Source organism: Homo sapiens, chromosome 7 (genome assembly GCF_000001405.40).
Source record: "Homo sapiens chromosome 7, GRCh38.p14 Primary Assembly".
Taxonomy (NCBI): Eukaryota; Metazoa; Chordata; class Mammalia; order Primates; family Hominidae; genus Homo; species Homo sapiens.
This window is the reverse complement of record NC_000007.14, coordinates 33,965,162-33,982,931: the sequence shown is the minus strand read 5'-3', so window position 1 is coordinate 33,982,931 and position 17,770 is coordinate 33,965,162. Positions and strand designations below refer to the sequence as shown.

Genomic DNA, 17,770 nt, shown 5'->3' with positions numbered 1-17,770 from the left:
ATGACCCCTCTTAAGCCAGATCCTCTAAAACCTCATCCCACCTTTGCCCTCTTTCTTCCAAAAAGCTACAAAAGCTTTGTCTAGGTAATGATCAATGACTGTGGTAGGCAATTAATTCAGCTTTGCCTTATAAACAGGTCATTTTGGTGGTATTTTCAAGAAACCAGAATTTGATATCCCATAACAATAGTTGTGCATTTATGGATTCAATCTAATGACAATGGCATTACAATAGACCTTCCGCTAGAAGCCTTGGCTGACAGGTAAACCACAACTATTCGGATTCTTTCTAACATAAAACACCAAGATTCACAAGCTCATTGTCCAGTCACAAAACAAGCAGAACACCAGCTACTTTTCTAAGCAAGTTGAAGGCCCCTCCTAGTGGCCAAGTGCTATCCAGCCCTTTAAGAAAACTTTTTTTTTTTTTTCAATTGACTGTTCAAAATCAAGATGGTACATCCATAGTGCAGAATGGAACACTGCAGCAATTACACCAATATTTCAGACTAGTTTTGAAAACTCCTCTGGGGCTTTTTGGCCCACACTAGTTAGATGAACTGCCCACATTGATCTAATTTGCTCAATAATTGCTCAATTCTCCAATTTATTGCCCAGATGTAGCCAAATTTCTCCCCGTGGACAGGGAAGATATAATGACAGCTTATGACTAAAATGCATCAAATTGCACATATTATTGCAAGTAAGGCAGAGGGCATGAGAGAGGGTTCAGGCATCGAAGTTCCCAAGTCCCCATGTCAAAGGAGAAACAGCACAGTTGGGCACCACGTGACCACAGAAATGATGAGGCATCTCTTTCCTTCCTATTGCAGAGAACTGCAATCTGAGCTGGAGATGCTGGAGCAGGAGGAGGTCAGTCATGTCTCCTGTATTTTTCAGAGCAAGGTCAACTCTGAGGATAGTGGATTCTCCTCTTTTAAAAGCTCTGCCACAGTGAGTGGCCCTGATTGTTGGTGACTGCTTCCTGCCACCACAGCTTCCTGCCACCAGAACTTGTGGGGATCTCTGAGGCTTAGGAACACTTTTCAAACAAGACATTCTCAGGGAAGTCATTCACATTCCATACCAAACAATTTATCATAAGCTCTACAGCAGCTGAAATGAATCTCTTTTTCTTTCTGAGCTCATCCACAATGACGTGCATCTCTCTATTCTCTGCCGAATTGGTAAAGACTAAATGTTTGGTGTGGGTGGGGAAAGTAGCAGAGAGAGAAGAGAAGCAGTGGGGGAAGAGAAGGAAAATAAAAACCAGCATCCATTTGTTCATGAATTCAGCAGATTATTATGTATACCCATTATGAGCCAAGCACAGAAGATACAGTCACCATTTTATCCTAATGGATGGAGTTAAATAAAACCATCACAAACAAAAATATCTAATTACAAATCATTTTAGATGTTTGGAGCGTAAAGTATGGGGTGCTATAAAAGAGTTTCCCAACAGGAAGTGATCTGGTCTTGGGAATCAGAACAAGCTTCCCTAAAGAAGGAATGTCTGGGCTTTGCAGTGCTGGATGAGTGGGCGGAGACTGTCTAGGTATAGGAGCGATGGGAAGGAGGAGAAATGGGAAGAAAAGGAAAAAGCTGCCTAGGTAAAAGCCATGAGATATAAGACCAGTGCTTCTCAAACTTTATTTGGCACATGAACCTCTGGGATCATGTGGAACAGCAGATTTCAATTCAGTGGGCCTGGAAGAGGGACAGAGATGCTGCATTTCTAATGAGCTCACAGGTGAGGTCCACGTTGCTGGTGGGAGTCCTCCCTTTGTGTAGCAAGGATGGAGAGGTTCTGTCTGAAGGCCAGAGTGGCCAGAGCAGAGAGGACAAGGATGAGGGACAGTGATGAGGTCACAGAGTTGACAGAGGCTGGACCCTGCCTGGCTGCTCAGAACATCTTCAAGAATCCAGTCTAAGAGACAGGGAAGCCATGAGGATCTCCATTTTCTTTGCTTTCTTCAAATACCCTTCCTTGGAGTTTCATTTTCCCTGGGAGACAGCACTTTGCAATATCTAAAGTGTAAGTGAGAGCAAAGGTGTTTATGGACTTCAGGGCTTCTAAGAGCCAGTAAAGCACAGCTCCTTCATCACAGACAGCCCATTAACAACCCATGTTTATTGGTAAAAATCCTCTGAACTTAATACGCCTTTGTCAGCCAAAGTAATTGATCTTGGCCGGTTAATTTGGCTGGTTTTACAGACAGAGGACTTGCTGCTCTTTTAAAAGCATCCTACCACTCTGTGGGCTATACTCCCTCCCGTAAGCAATTTCCAAGAACACTGAGCCCCTGGGGTTCTTAAAATAGTTTGGTAAAAAGAACACAAACATCTCTGATTGGCACCTTGGTCTTTAGTCTCACAACATTGAAGACAGGTTTTACAGAAATGTCTGTGCCAACTACCACCATCCTGTTTCCTGAAAAGTTGACTGAACAAAGGCACACAAAGCTGTTTGCTATACAGTTAAGCAGGTAGGAAGCCAAGGTGTGCTTTAACCAACACTCAGTATACTTTATAAACTATTCTTTGCTTCAGTGGTAGGAAAGAATCCTCTTTCCATTTAAACATGAATATAGTGCTTATTCGCACTGAACACATCTCATAAAGAATGCACTCTGGTATGACTCAGACCGCTATATGGAACAGCTAATAGGACTCAAGCTGTCACTCCCCTGATGAATATCGGGACTCTGAAGAAGTGATTCTCTTGGCTCTTTTATTTCTACAATGGGTAAACAGGGATGATGCAGTTTAACAAATGATAAGAAAGCACTGCATTTTCTGAGTGAGTCATGATGATAGTCACACCTAAAAACGTTAGGTCTGCTTCTGGAATGGATAAGAGCAAAAGGTTGTGAAATCCTCTCCAGATAATCCTCAAACATTATCACGTTCTCAACTGTCTGGAATGCCATAGAGATGGACCAGCTGAAACCAGGATGTACAATCATGTGTGAGGCATTTGTTTCGTTATCTTAGGAATCCATCTCCATAAGACGAGTGTCTTCCTGATGGTCTGCCTCTCTGTCACCACATCACGAAAACATCAGTACACAGATTTTCACAAATTCAGAGAGTGTAACTAAGTGGGTTGGACCTCAAATACAAGCCACATGGCGTATACAAGCCACTTGCCAGTGGGGACACCACGAAGAGTTTGCAGTTCATCCATTGGAGCTGGATAATACCCCCAAGGGATGCTTCACACACCCACACAACTCCCTAGGGTGTGCCCCCAAGGCAAAGAGTAAGCTAGTGATAAGGGGATATCTGACCAGATTTACTCTCCCAGACGAGAATAGGCTGGCCAGCTTGGAAGGGCAGAAGTCTCAGGATGGAAGAGGAAACATTACTCTTTCTCAGTGTACTACATCAAAAGACAGCAATAGGAAAGAAGAAGGGTGCCAACATTGCTGAGCGCCTGCCAGTGGTGCTAAGCACAGAGGAGGAGGGAGGGAAAGATGGCAGGGAAGCTATAGCAAACGAGAGCCATGGAGCCATCAGGAATACAAAAGAGAAAACAGTTGCTTCTCCTTGGGGGAATCAGGTTCTCAGGGAGTTGCAGGGGGGTGGTGGTAACAGACTTGGAAAGATCAAGCATTCGCCAGGTGAACAAGCAGAAGAAAGGAATTACAAACAGGGTAGCAGCATGAGCAAAGGACTGGAGGCAAAACAGAGTAATAGGTTTGGGAAAAAGCTAAAGGTTTAGTATTCCAAACGTGTGTATGCATATGCGTGTATGCATATGCGTATGCACATATACGCATACATATTCACAAATATATGAATGTATAGATGTTTACGTGCATATATATGGACACTTATGCACACATATGTATGTTGTAGCTGACTCTGTCGCTGCGGACCCACATCCTCTCACCCTTACCACTTGGGTGTGTGCACATGCCCACACTTCTAACTGCCAGTACAGTTAGTCCCTGATGATATTTTGACTTAAACGATATGCATTCAGTAGAATATGTACTTTTTAGTACTCGTACAACCATTCTGCTTTTCACTTTAAGTATAGTTTTCAAGAAGTTTAATGAGCTATTCAATAGTTTATTATAAAATAGGCTTTGTGTTAGATGATTTTTTCCAACCATATGCTAATATAAATGTTCTGAGCAGGCTGAAGACAGGCTAGGCTAAGCTACGGTGTTCAGTAGGTTAGGTGTGTTAAACGCATTTTTAACTTAAGATATCTTCAACTTACAATGCATTTATCAGAGCATAACTCCACCGTAAGTTGAGAAGTATCCGTTTTTGTGTTTCTTCCTCTTGCTGCTAAAGACCACTTTGCCACTTGAGGGGCAGGCTGGAAATGCTACCCAATCAAGACCTCCCGGGAGCAGCCCTCAACCAAACCCTGGTTGGAGTTGGTGTGTAGATATTTCAGTTCTCTCACTCCTTCAGTGAAAACATTCTGAGGTATGAATTTTACACTGGCTTCCAGACTTTCCCCAGCAAGACTAAGCTCTGGTCACACACAATGGTAGCTCACATGGTGTCAAAGTCTATTCGTACTATTATAACAAAATATCTGAGAGTGGGTAACTTACAAAGAACAGGAATTTATTTCTCACAGTTCTGAATGCCGGGAAGTCCAAGATCAAGGTGCTGGCTGGTTTGGTGTCTGGCAAGGGCTGCTGTCTCTGCTTCCAAGATGGCGCCTTGTTGCTGCAACCTCCGAAGGAGAGGAACACTGTGTCCTTACATGGCGGGAGTGATGGAAGGGCAAGAGAGATGAACTTCCTCCCTCAAGCCCTTATATAAGGACACTTGGCCATTCATGAGAGCAGAGACTTCGTGGCTTAATCACCTCCTAAATGTCACACCTCTTAATACCACCACAATGGCGATTAAGTTTCAACCCATGAATTTTGGGGGACGTTCAGACCATAGCACTTGGTGACATTCCCTCAACTGGCTGCTTCTTCATCCTTGTCTCCCCTCCGCACTCTTCTGCCAGAGCCTTCTGTATCTCCCAAATAAACTACTTACACATATATACTTATCTCAGGGTCTGTTTCTGGGGCATCCAATCTTAAACATGTGTATGTTAGAAATGTGTTGAGAAGTATCTGAGAAATGTGTATGTTTGCATTTGTATTTATAAGCATGTTTTTATATATTTTTATTATTTTTATATATGTGTGTATAGATACATGCAATTACAGATATAGAGATATACAAATATATAGTCACATAAATACTATATACATGCTCAAATGCATAATATGTTTATATTTCTCTCTATATATATCTTTCTATTTTTACCAAAGCACAACAGGTTATTACATGCAGTCTTCATTTGTACAGGGGAAGCTGCAGCCTAACATTATGAACACCCCTCTGGTAGCCTCCTCAGTGGAGCATTTGGCCTTGCACAGGTCCTGTCTAAAGCCCTTCTCCAGCTTTGCCCTCTCACGCAAGATGGCACCTCACACCTGCACGCACCTCACATGCCAAAGCTTCCAAGCAGGCTGCCAGGGCAACACTGGCAAACTCCATGCCTCCTAAACTCCATGCCTCCAGGCCATGCATTTGGAATATTCCACTCTAAAGTGAACATCTCCACAGTTACCATCCTCAAGAGAGGGCCATTTGCTGCCAAGACATTACTTTTTTTTTTTAGTGTACTCCATCAAAAGATAGCAAACATGAAAGAATATTAAAAACCAGATTATTTTACCAACAAGCTACAAAAAAGCTTACACCTCAAATGTGTGTGTTCATAAAAGAAAAACTGCTCTTATGACACTCCCCATACCCAAACTGACACACAAATGTCCTACCTTCAAGCAAGAACTCCATTGTTTCTCCCATTTATTCTATTAATCTAAAGGCTGATATCGGGAACATAATCAAAGTCATTAGTTGCCCTTTGAGTGCTGAGGATGGCACTGCAGAAAACTAGACAGAATACAGGAATATATGAAATTAGAATACAAGGATATGAGAAAGGAATAGACTCTAGGTCTGGCAAGAACTCACTAGGCAGAAAAACTTGGTGTTTCATTCATCATGCATTGTGTTTAAAAACATATGAAATCAGAATGCCTGCAGTACATTTTGGTTTGTGACCCCTGTACATATCATCTCTAAGCTCATTTCCAGTTCCAGCACTGGATAACTCTGGCTGGCTGTCACTGGTACAGCTGCAGGAACTTTCCATTCTCTTTACCACCTTCTAAATTTCCTCTCCAAGGAGGCTCAGCTGCGTGACCTTGGCACACCTTTACCTGGAAAGGCAATTCATTCAGATGCACATTTATAATTTCCTATTGAAATATGCCTTATTTTTCCTCAGTCTACTCCCAAAAGCATAAGATTATTTAAAAAAAATTATCAGAAAGCTTTATAGTTTACAGTATGGAAGAAATAAAATTGAGAAATGGGTAATATTTAATGGCAAATATTATTTACATAAATCATTTACATAAAAATAAAACTATTCAGGCCAGGCATAGCGGCTCACACCTGTAATCCCAGCACTTTGGGAGGCTGAGGTGGGTAGATCACTTGAGGTCAGGAGTTCGAGACCAGCCTGGCTGACATGGTGGAACCCCATTTCTACTAAAAATACAAAAATTAGCCAGGCCTGGTGGCGCACACCTGTAATCCCAGCTACTTGGGAGGCTGAGGCAGGAGAATCACTTGAACCTGGGAGTCAGAGGCTGCAGGGAGCTGACATAGTGCCACTGCACTGCAGCCTGGGAGACAGAGCAAGACTCTGTCTCAAAAAATAAAAAAATAAAAAATAAAGCTATTTAGTCATAATTAGCAGGAGAGGAACAACATGGAGGTTGAGTTGGAATATGCAAGCTCATGCTCATTTTCATGAGTACATTACTTTGTGTTTTTTATATATTATTATATACCTGATGTATATTATGTATATTACATATGTTTTATATCTAGATATATAGAGATATACATATATACTCTCTTCCTCCCTCCCTTCCTTTTTTACCTCCTTCTCCCCCATACAAAAGCCATCACATTTCGTCATATTTCCTCTAATCTGTATTCTCTAGGTTGGGTGCATGTGTGCTGAGGGAAGGAGGAAAGATTTTCGAAAAGACATGTAGAGAAATGACAAATGCTATGGTTTATGATGATCCAAATATGATTCTGCTTTGGTGAAATTAGCATGCTAGAGTTCCCCATGTATTTTCCTTTTAATATTCTGAGATGCATAGTGAGTCACAAGTGACTTGGAAAATGTATGTTCTTTATTATAACAGATTAAAAGCTTAAAAAATAGATGGTTGTACTAACTCCCTACTGTAAATGACTTGGAGCAGCTGGTTAAGACTAGATTCCCCATCACTACCACCACCACTGATTTCACCCTAAATTTAACATATATTAATTAAAGAGATCCCTTTACAATTGTAGCATGTGCCAAGTTCTTTTTTATATCTAAGCATGCTGGAGAGATCGTTAGTATATGGCTTAGAATTCAGCAATGCTTAGAAAGACAAGCCTGTGACTTTGTCTCACTGATTCCTCCTATCACCATTTCAGGCGATTTCCTCCTATCCACTCTGCAACCTGTAACTGATCAGCCCTCAGACCAGGTTCTCACCCCTCAGGACGCACAGAAGCAAGCTGTGTTTGTCCCCATTGCTTCTTATTTGGCTGCACTAAAGAACCAAGCAGCTGCCTCAGCAAGAAGGTCCTCAGCCCCTGAGGAACAGAAAATCCATGCTTTCCCCCAAAAAAGGAGGCACGTGGAGGAAAGGCAGCCTCTCCCTCATGCTTCAGAGCAGAGTTCCTCAATCAGGAGCAAGTTTGGCCTCCATGGCCCATTGGGTGGTCTGCAGACATTGGTGGTGATATAGCTGGAGGGGTTTACTGGCATCCAGTTGGTGGAGCCAGGGGACCTTGCTAAACATCCTGCAACACACAGGACAGGCCCATGAAGAAGAATTTCCCAGCCCAGAATGTCAGTAGTGCTGAGCCAGGTGGATGAGCTTTTCCCTCGGCTCCACATCAGGAGGGACGGACTTTTACCCAGAGAGGAGACGAGAGAGAGGCTGTAGAGACCGGGGGTGCTCTTGGTGAGTACAAGAAGTGCTTTGCCCAAAGGACACCCTGGGAACATCCACAGCAGGACTTACAGTGCAGGAACACTTGGTACATTTGCTTCCTTCTGGCTGAAATTCCTCCCCTTCTTGATACTGCACACCCTCAAACACACAGCCTGGAAAGCAGACAAGAGTTTAGAATTAGGGCAACAGCCATCATCGTTCAACCTGACACAATCCTTCTATCCACAGTTCATCCGTTGCCCACCTCCACACAGCTGAGTGTCCTCTTCAACCAGTGGACAAGATTGCTGCATAGTGAAAAGAAAAAAACAGAGGCAAACGATGGGCATGGGACCTGAAACCCCAAAGATGCTGGAAAACAAATAAGACAGTGGAACCCAGGTCAGCCCAAGGGGAAGTAGTGCAGCATAGAGAGCCGTGCTTGGGGTCCGGGAGCTGCATGGTGATCATGCTGCCCACTGCCAGAGGGACCAAACCCAGGGGGGCCAGAGGAGGCAGATGGAAGGCCAAGGGAGAGAAGTCAACCATGGGCTTGGAGCAGATGACACCAGGGGCCCCATTCAATGAGTACCTAAGAAGGGCACAGCCTCTATCGCGTCCTAGGTACCCCAATCTCACTCCACATCCCCAATGATCCTACAAAGTAGGGACTTTCATCACTCTTTTCACAAATAAGGAAAACGTGGCTCAGAGGGGAAAGTAACTCACCCCAGCTGGCAGGTGGCAGAGCTAGAATTCAAAATCAGTTCTGACCCATCTGCTGCACTGTTCAGAGGGCCAGGTACAAAGGCAAGAAGGGGCAGAGGCAGGACAGGAGGTATCATACGGGTTTTCAGCCCCACGCTCTCTGTTAAAGGGACTGTGGCCCCCTCCAAGTTTGAGCTAATAATAGGACCAAAACCCAGGAGGTGTTCCCTATTCAGAAAGATGCCCAGGACACTGCCAGATTCCAAAGAGAGGTCATAAATGGCACGATGCACAAACCAGACAGGAACCCCATGTCACACAGGCCATGGGATAACTATGAGTTAACAGCAAAGCCACATTCCTCAGGACTGACCTCACAAGGTGCTGGACCAGGACAGCTGAGGTCACTTTCTCCATGGAAGACGGTGCTGGGAGCAAAGCTAGCAGTGGGCAAAACTTAGCCAAAGCAGGGTCTTGTGAAAGACTGCTCCATGCCCCTGAGAATGAGTGTTCAAGGCCTGCCAGCTAAAGCCATCTGCAGAACCCACCAAGCTCTTGGAGCAGCTGGTTCTTGACAAAGAAGAATGGGCATTACATCCACCTGATCTGGCCACTGACCTTATTCATCTTAAGCTGGATACAGAGCCCTTTGTTAAATGGAAGACATGCAGACAAGTGCTACTGAGCCTGAAGTTGCATTACCAAGTGAAACCGTGGTTTAAAAAATGCCCCAGGCATAAGATCTGTATGCTACTGACTTGCAGAGTTAGCAATCAACCAGCTCCTTGGTATTCTCAGTGATGCCAGAAGGCCTGGTAAGTGTGGGGCCCTCCTAGTGGCTGTATCTCAGCACTGTTACTATGGCAGATGCCCACTCGTCTCTCTTTAAGGTGTACTTCCAACAAGGCAGCTTTAATTCTTTCATACAGGTTTGTAGCACTGATTTTGTCACACGGATTGCCAGATTAACTACAACAATCTACACCTGACCACTTAAATGAATTTTAAATGAAAATTCTATGCAAACTGTTTCCATCACAACCCACCATTCCTGAGCAAAGAGCCCAATGAAAAGGAAGGAGCAGTCGACCAAGAATGCCCTAAAATCTGCTTCGGGAAGAAACTGACCACAGACTACGTGTTTGTCATTACACAGAATATCATTCCCTGGTCAATGCCAGTCCTTCTGAGTGACCAAGGAAGATACCCAAGGCTTCTCTTGACTCTCCCTCCCTAGATTTGCCTGAAGCCTCCCTCATAAGACAAAAGATAATGCCTTGTGGATACAGTTCCTTCTGGATCCTCCAATTTGCATCCCAAAGGTTGGCCTTTGGAATTAAGGCGAGGGAATGAAATTGATTCATGATCCCGTAATTGAGGACACAGAGCCTGCCAAGGTGTCAGGGGGCTGGTGGGTGGCACTGGCATGCCAATTCTTAAAGATTTGCCTTCCAGAACACCTGGACCTAAGCTTCTCAATTCTCGCGGTGTGTGTGGGCATGGGAGGTAGTGCCCTGTGGTGGCCAGAAAAGAGAAAGGGCCAGATCCCAACCTCACCTTTGGCCCTTACTCACTCACGGACCTCAGGCAGGCGCTTACTCTTGGTGGGCCTAGTTTCTTCTTGTGTATAAACAGTGGATGGCTGTGAGGACTTAGCACTGTAATATGAGCAGTCATGGAGTTCAGCCCTTTCCTTCCTAGAAACTCAACCAAAAAGAGAGTGGAAGAAATAATGGCTCAAATACAACTTCAACTGCTGAAATAGATCGCTCTGCTGTTTGTGTACCCACAGTTTCAAAGGCAGCCTGAAAATATGACTATCTCCTAAGTGAGGAGAATGTTCTACAGGGTGGGAGGTCTTGGGCTTGAAGTGTTCCATTTCATTATTGTTGGTCCATGACAGATCCCATGGTTATGAGGAGAGGGCAGCTCTGAGTTGATTCTGTGTCAATAAAGCCATAGTCGGCCGGGCGTAGGGGCTCACGCCTGTAATCCCAGCACTTTGGGAGGCCAAGGAGGGTGGACCACGAGGTCAGGAGATCAAGACCATCCTGACTAACATGGTGAAACCCCGTCTCTACTAAAAATACAAAAAAATTAGCCAGGCATGGTGGCGGGTGCCTGTAGTCCCAGCTACTCGGGAGGCTGAGGCAGGAGACTGGTGTGAACCAGGGAGGCAGAGGTTGCAGTGAGCCGAGATCACACCACTGTACTTCAGCCGGGGCGACAGAGTGAGACTCCATCTCAAAAAATAAAAATAAAATAAATAACAAAGCAACAGTCTACTCAACACAACTGAACTCATATTTAAGAGCTATGATATTTTTAAATCTATATGGTGTATAAAATATGCTCTGTTATCAATGTCAGGGTTGGCTGTGTACAGAAATTATCTGGGAGATCTGAGACCCGAGTGTTCCTCAGAGATTCTGATGGAATTGGTCTGGGATGCAGCTTGATCATCAAGATTGATTTTTTTAAGGATTTTTCAGGTGACTCTGGTGTGCAGCCTGGACAACTACTGATCTCATTGAATAAAGATACTGTAGGCATCTAAGGATACGGTTAGGCAATACAAACCTTTCACAGCATTCAGAGAGAAAAGCACTCAAGCAATCTCTGCTTGATAGACACAGAACAACTGGATAATGGAAAAAATAATTTTACTTTCAACCAGTGTTTGGCTTTCATGTAAGCTCATGAACAATACAAGCTTTACAGAAATCCCAGTGTGAAAAAGAGGCTGAATAAAGACAGCCCAGGTTGCTGAGGAGGGTTAGACGTAAGTGGAAGCTGGCTATCCTTGTCATTCAAGGGTGAGAAAAGGCTGAACTCTGAAAGGGACCATGCCTTTGAGACTGCATGGAGGAAAGTGACAGGTGCCTGAGAATGGAGCAGGAGCTCATCTCTGCAGAGCGTCCAGTGGTGACTTAGCCACTTCACAGGAAGTTTCCAAGAACAGAAGGCCCTTTGGAGATTAACCTCAAAAGCAGAGCAGTAGTCGTATCACCACTCTTGAGGAAAAGCACTCAGAAAAAAAAAAACAAAAAAACAAAAAAAACAAAATGCAGAACACCTGTCAGAGATTATTGGCCAGTGGCTTAAGAGATCAGAAAAAAATCTCTCACCTCAAAAGCCCCAGGCTTGTATGTAAGGGCAGGAAAAGATGCAGGAGGCCTTTGTAATCCTGTTCAGAAAAGTAAAAGGAAACGTTCCAGCCGCTGCAAAGGAAAGATCCTTTTGCTGTCAGCTAGGAAGCAGGGCCCTCTAAAAAAGACAAGAGGGTCCACCTTGTTGAACCACATGGAAAACTGAGACCAGCAAAACCCTAAGCTAAATTCACTTAGGGACACAGCTCTCAGTTTTCAGAAAACATCTGGTCACCTCATCACCATGGCGAGCTCTGGCCAGGATTTTGCAATATGAAGCAGTAAAAAGACATCTCTGGAAGCCAGAGAAAGCCACAGCCTTTTCTTCCAAAATAAGCATTACCTGTGGCCCTGTGGAGTGGAAAGCAGGCCTCGGAGCCTGGAGAACCCCCATGCCAGGACCTCCAGCACATTGCATTCATGCTGGGCACACCGAGGCAGCCAAGCGGATATTTCTATGCAAAGGAGCTCGCTCTCTAAACCCATTAGGTACACAGATGTAAAGTGAGGAAAATTTCCAACAAGAGGGGTTGGGAGATTCATGCATTCCTGAAAGAACACACAGAGATTTCCAGCCTCCCCTTCCTGAGAACGTTACCTGGACATGTGGGGCAGCACATTCCCAGATGCTCCAAAGGGTTTTTACAATGAACAACACAGCGCACCCCAGACTCTGTGACAACGCCCTCCTGAAACACAGAACAAAACAAGCAAAGTCAGCCCAGAATTCCCACGGAGTTACTACTTTTGGAAAGTGACCTAAGTAGGAGAAGTGCTCAAGCACAAAAACCACAAGGTTTGGTGGGTGTCAGGGCGAGAGGTATGAGACACCAACGAGGTGAGATCCAGGCTCACCCCAATCAATGCTGTAGAACTCAGTGCAAATCTGTCACCTCTTATTTTCCCCCGTCTTTGCTTTCTCTTTGGCCCTAATTTCTTGCTTCCTTTTAAATCTAGTTTTTAAGACCTTCTTGCTGTCAGTAAGTACCCAACAGAATCTAGCTGCTCATTCACAATTGTTTTAGGTTTTCCACACTTCCTGTACTTTCTATCATTGTTATTCATGTCAAGCCATTAATGGTGAGGCACAGCATATAAGCATCTTAACCCAGACTAGCACCTGGAGATCCTAAATCCTTACCAACCTTCTAGAAATAACTAGGCCAGCTCTGCAATCTTAGAAATGTCACTCTGCCTCACACAGAGCCTGGGTCTCAGTCTTCCTCAAGCATCAAAGGAAGGGATTAGACAAAACTATTTTTAAGTTCATATTATATATGTCAAAATAGGGACTTTAGGGCTTAATAATAAAATCAAGTGGCCGGACGCAGTGGCTCACGCCTATAATCCCAGCACTTTGGGAGGCTGAGGCGGGCGGATCACGAAGTCAGGAGATCGAGACCATCCTGGCTAACACAGTGAAACCCCGTCTCTACGAAAAATACAAAAAATTAGCCGGGCGTGGTGGCAGGCGCCTGTAGTCCCAGCTACTCAGGAGGCTGAGGCAGGAGAATGGTGTGAACCCAGGAGGCGGAGCTTGCAGTGAGCAGAGATTGCGCCACTGCACTCCAGCCTGGACGACAGAGCGAGACTCCATCTCAAAAAAATAAATAAATAAATAAATTAAGTGAGTCATTTGCAAATTGATATTGGGACTCTAATCACCTTAATGTCAATTGAAATATTTTTAGAATTAATTTTCACAGTTGGCCTTTGAAGGGCTTTCTCCAGATTCTCCACCCATTTTGTAAATGGATTTGTGTTTCATTTTTGGTTTGGTTTTTGTTGCTGTCTGTGATGGGATGGGTGGCACAGGATGAAAACAAATATAACAAATTAACAACTAGGTCATTTTCTTCATCGTGTCTGCTACCACATCATCTCAACCCAACAAGGAGGGCTACATCCTTAATGTTTTCATATCATGTCAGGCCTGAGGTTTCCACTCACTGGAGAATTGGTTATGGCTTAAATCACATGGGAAAGAATAAAACAACTAAAGTACTAGCAATATATAACATCACAAAAAGATCCATGCTTTAGTTACATAACTGAAGCAATGCAAAAAGCTATGCATGGCCCCAAACCAATTTTTCTTTGGTATCTGCAATCCAGATGGAGGATTCAGGTTAGTTCCCAGCATGAATTTCCTGTCCATGATCTTCAAATTTTCCTCTTCCCATAAGAAATTAAAAGCAGGAAAATAAAGGTAAATTTCTCACCATCAGAGCTCCCTTGGTAGGAAGATATAAGAAACAGGTAGAATTCAATTCAAATGGAACTAGGCCAGATCATTAGACTTCCTGTCATCTGTCTGAGACCTTGTTGTACCCAGTCCATGCAGGCGCTCTACCAGAAGCATTTTTAACAGTTTGGCTTTCTGCTTACAACTCTCCCTGAAGAGAGTACTATTTCTGTTTTATAGGTAGTTAAAGTGAGGTACAGCGAGGTTAAGTAGCAAGTTATGTGAGTGGCAGAATCCATATTTCACCTACTGCCCTACGCTGTATCCTCTGCTACTGATTTTGTGCCCTGAGAAAAGAAGAGCATGCAAAGAGAGGTTGCCATTGTGCCATTCTGCAGAGAAGCAAGAAGACTTCCCTGACAGGTGCCAATAAATGGTAATTTCCTGCATTCCAAGATGAGGTCTCATACCTAAAGAAGGAAGCAAGTCAGGAAAGGGAAGGTCCCAGCTGAGCAAAGGAGCAGCCTTTGGTAGGTCCCTTCACCGCAGGTTGCTTTTCTGCGTATTGAATAAAATATTATCCTAGCTAGCAGGGCACAGGCAAGGTTTTAGAAAGGAGGAAAAACTGAAAGGCAAACTTCCTCTTGGGTAGGTAACATCAACTTTCTCTTCCCCATTTTACAGGTCAGCATCTCCTGACTCCCAAGGCTGCTGGACTTTAAGATCTCTTTCAACAGTAATTAGAGATTCCTGCATCACTCTTTCTGGGCCCTACTGACCAGAGACGCTAGGCAATTGGAGGTTCAGGGTTAACAATGGATAATGGCTTAATGTGTTATTCAGTCAACAAAATAGTCCCTCCCATATAATAGCTTCTACTTAATTTAAACAAAGTCTTCATCCAAAGGCAGCAAAATTCACCCATGACTGGTCCATGCAACTTAAGGAACTTCAAAACCTCTGACTGTTACATAGGAATACTATGCTAGACTCCAGAGGATATGTGATTGTCTTGTTTAGCATTGTAACCATGGCTTTGGTTTTCTGAGTGCTCTACCAAAGAGTGGAAATTTTGCTGGTCAAGAGGCAGGGCATGGGTGAAGTGGTATAAATTTTGAAACAAATGTGGGATTTTGATGTTATGGAAACTTATTGCTCTCATCCCTTTGCAGTATGACACTGATTGAACCTGCAACAACCTGGAATAAAAATCCAGCAAATATTTGTTGATTTAATAATGTATTATTTATATGTGTTTACCTACTGCTTATTTTAACAAGCAACAGATTTCCTATATAAATAAGCTGAATATTTAACTGAATAAATAGCTGAAGGTCTTATGAATGAGCATACCTATCATGGCATATAATAGGAATATAACTACCTAAAATTTAGATTTCAGTAAACTAAATGTCACTATGCTTAAGATAAGAGCAAAGAGAAATATCCATTATTATACTAACCTTTCAATTTCCTTTAAATGCAAAAGCATATCCTTGGACAACGAAATAGGGTTAGGGATAAAATGATTTAACAGCACCTTTTCTACGAAGAAGAAATTTTAAGTTTTGTCAAAATTAGATGAGCATAATTTGTGGCAGATTATTTATAAAAAGTTTTTGTTTGCTTGTTTTTTTAAAGGAGGAGTTTGAAAATTTAGGCTTTTCATTTCTGCTTTAGTTTATCTTGCTGTGTTTAACACCTGATGGGGTTAGAGCCATGTGGAATCACTGCTCTTTTCAGAGTTCAATAGGATCAACCACAGTGGACTCCCTAGTTGCTGAATTGGTGGTTTTTTAATTTGTCAGGTTGAAATCATCGAGTTACAGTATACTAATTGCTTCAATGTAATAGTTTACAGATTGGATCCAGTTCAAAATCTTTCTAAATCAAAGAAGTGAAACATACATCCTTTAACAATACCCGCTTTCTGCTAAGAGGAATTCATGTTTTGCTCAAAGATGACTTCACAGGAAGACATGAATTTTCCCCAAGGACATGTGCATCTTCCTGGAGTTTTCCCAGGCACAATTTAACAATGGTGGACAATTCCACTGTGTGTTTCTGGAAGCAAGTTCTACACAATATCTATGCTGCACCTGTCTCGTTATGGTGACACAGTAAGTACACACAAGGATACAGTTGCTTTTTCATTGTTTTTTTCATTTCTGTTTGGCCTTTTTAGGGTTTTGTTCTATGTTGTGTGAAGGGGTGACTAAAGAGGACTCTATGGATTCCTTTTTACTGGAGAGAGAAATAATTGAACTTTACCTGGCACTGGCGTAGAACACAAGGCTCAGCCGGGCTCTGCCATTTGAAGGAGCTGTTATAGGTATTTCCTTCATAGGTGCAACCTAGACAGGAGACACAGAAGCAGGAAGAAAGGCCAAGAATGGGTATGGGTTTCCTTTACCTTTTGGAGCAAAATAAGTTATGTTCTCTAAGCCCAGATTAGCGATCAAAGGAACCACCATGCTCTTTGGCTATTTTTCCCCAAAACACAACTAAGCCTTCTAAGTATCCACTTGACATTCACTTACATTAATTCATTGACTACTGAGAAGATTAACCTCCTGAATTATATTATCAAGTGCAAAGCCATAGATTGATGAACTCTCATGGCCAAAATGTATAACCTCGTGACTTGATTTATGCCTAATGATGTATGAGGAGTAACAGAGCTAAAAACACCACTATTAAAAGGGATCTTACATGAGATTAAATTAATTCAAGATCAAAAGTGAAGCTTAAAACATGATAGAAAATAAAAGCAGAAAATTAAAATATAGGACTTGAACGCAAAATTCTATACTCATCTAAGATTGTTGATGAGCTACTGTCTTCCCTAGATAAAACCTTCCAACCCTTACCTCCAATTCTAAGAGCTATAATTTCATACTTACTTTTTATATTACTTTTAGGTAGTAAATTAGACTAAGCGAATCTGAAACTACCCATCTAAAGTATGGATTATCACATGTTATTCATTGGCAAAAACAGAAGTCAAAGGCCAGAGATCTTCAAAAGAAGAAATAAGCCAGTTAGCTTGAGTCTCTGTGGGAAAAGGCCAAAGAAACAATAGTGTGGAAATCACAGCCTAGGTCTTGAGTCAGTTTCTACAAATAACCCTCCACACTGTGGGTTACACGATCTAGGAAGACACACTTGGCGATGCCTATAGTCACTGTATCCTTAGAAGCCCACTAGGCAAAGAGATTTACCAATACATAGTCTGGATTGCTTAATACAAAAAGTACAGAAGCAGGAACACACACATGTGATAATGCAGAAATAAAAGGGTCTGGCTCTCTGTTTCAATGACTGATTTCTGGCAAGCTAATCAACCTCAATTCACATCAAGTTTTTCTTGTCCAAGACAGAAGAGAGACTCACTCCTTCCATGAGAACTTTTAGATAATGCTGTGGTTAAAAAAAAAAATCCCTGTTAATACATTCAAGCAGAATAACAAAGGACTTAGAAAAAATTCAATAGATGTTTTCATAAACTTGGAACTATGATCTGAATTCCCAAAGAATTATGAATGATTGAAAAGGGCTCAGTAATACTCTGCTCTCTAGTTCCTACAAATCAAATTACTAAAGTACACAGTTGATTGGAAACACATTAGGGAAATGCTTTCACTATATATTTTTTAATTTCCTTTGCATGA

At 42.7% G+C, this 17,770-nt stretch overlaps 1 protein-coding gene across 4 annotated transcripts in view; it reads right to left on the bottom strand.

Moving 5' to 3' along the window:
* BMPER (BMP binding endothelial regulator) overlaps positions 1 to 17,770 on the bottom strand; it is a 251,513-nt gene that overhangs the window by 173,496 nt on the left and 60,247 nt on the right. For 3 of the 4 annotated variants that reach the window (NM_133468.5, NM_001365308.1, NM_001410872.1), the window contains 3 exons: positions 16,371 to 16,453; positions 12,513 to 12,603; positions 8,148 to 8,230 (listed from right to left, as the gene is read on the bottom strand). In NM_133468.5, coding sequence (NP_597725.1) covers positions 8,148 to 8,230; positions 12,513 to 12,603; positions 16,371 to 16,453 — 257 coding nt within the window. Of the gene's footprint in view, positions 1 to 8,147; positions 8,231 to 12,512; positions 12,604 to 16,370; positions 16,454 to 17,770 lie in introns of those variants that run through there. The other variant, XM_047419939.1, reaches the window with a different exon arrangement.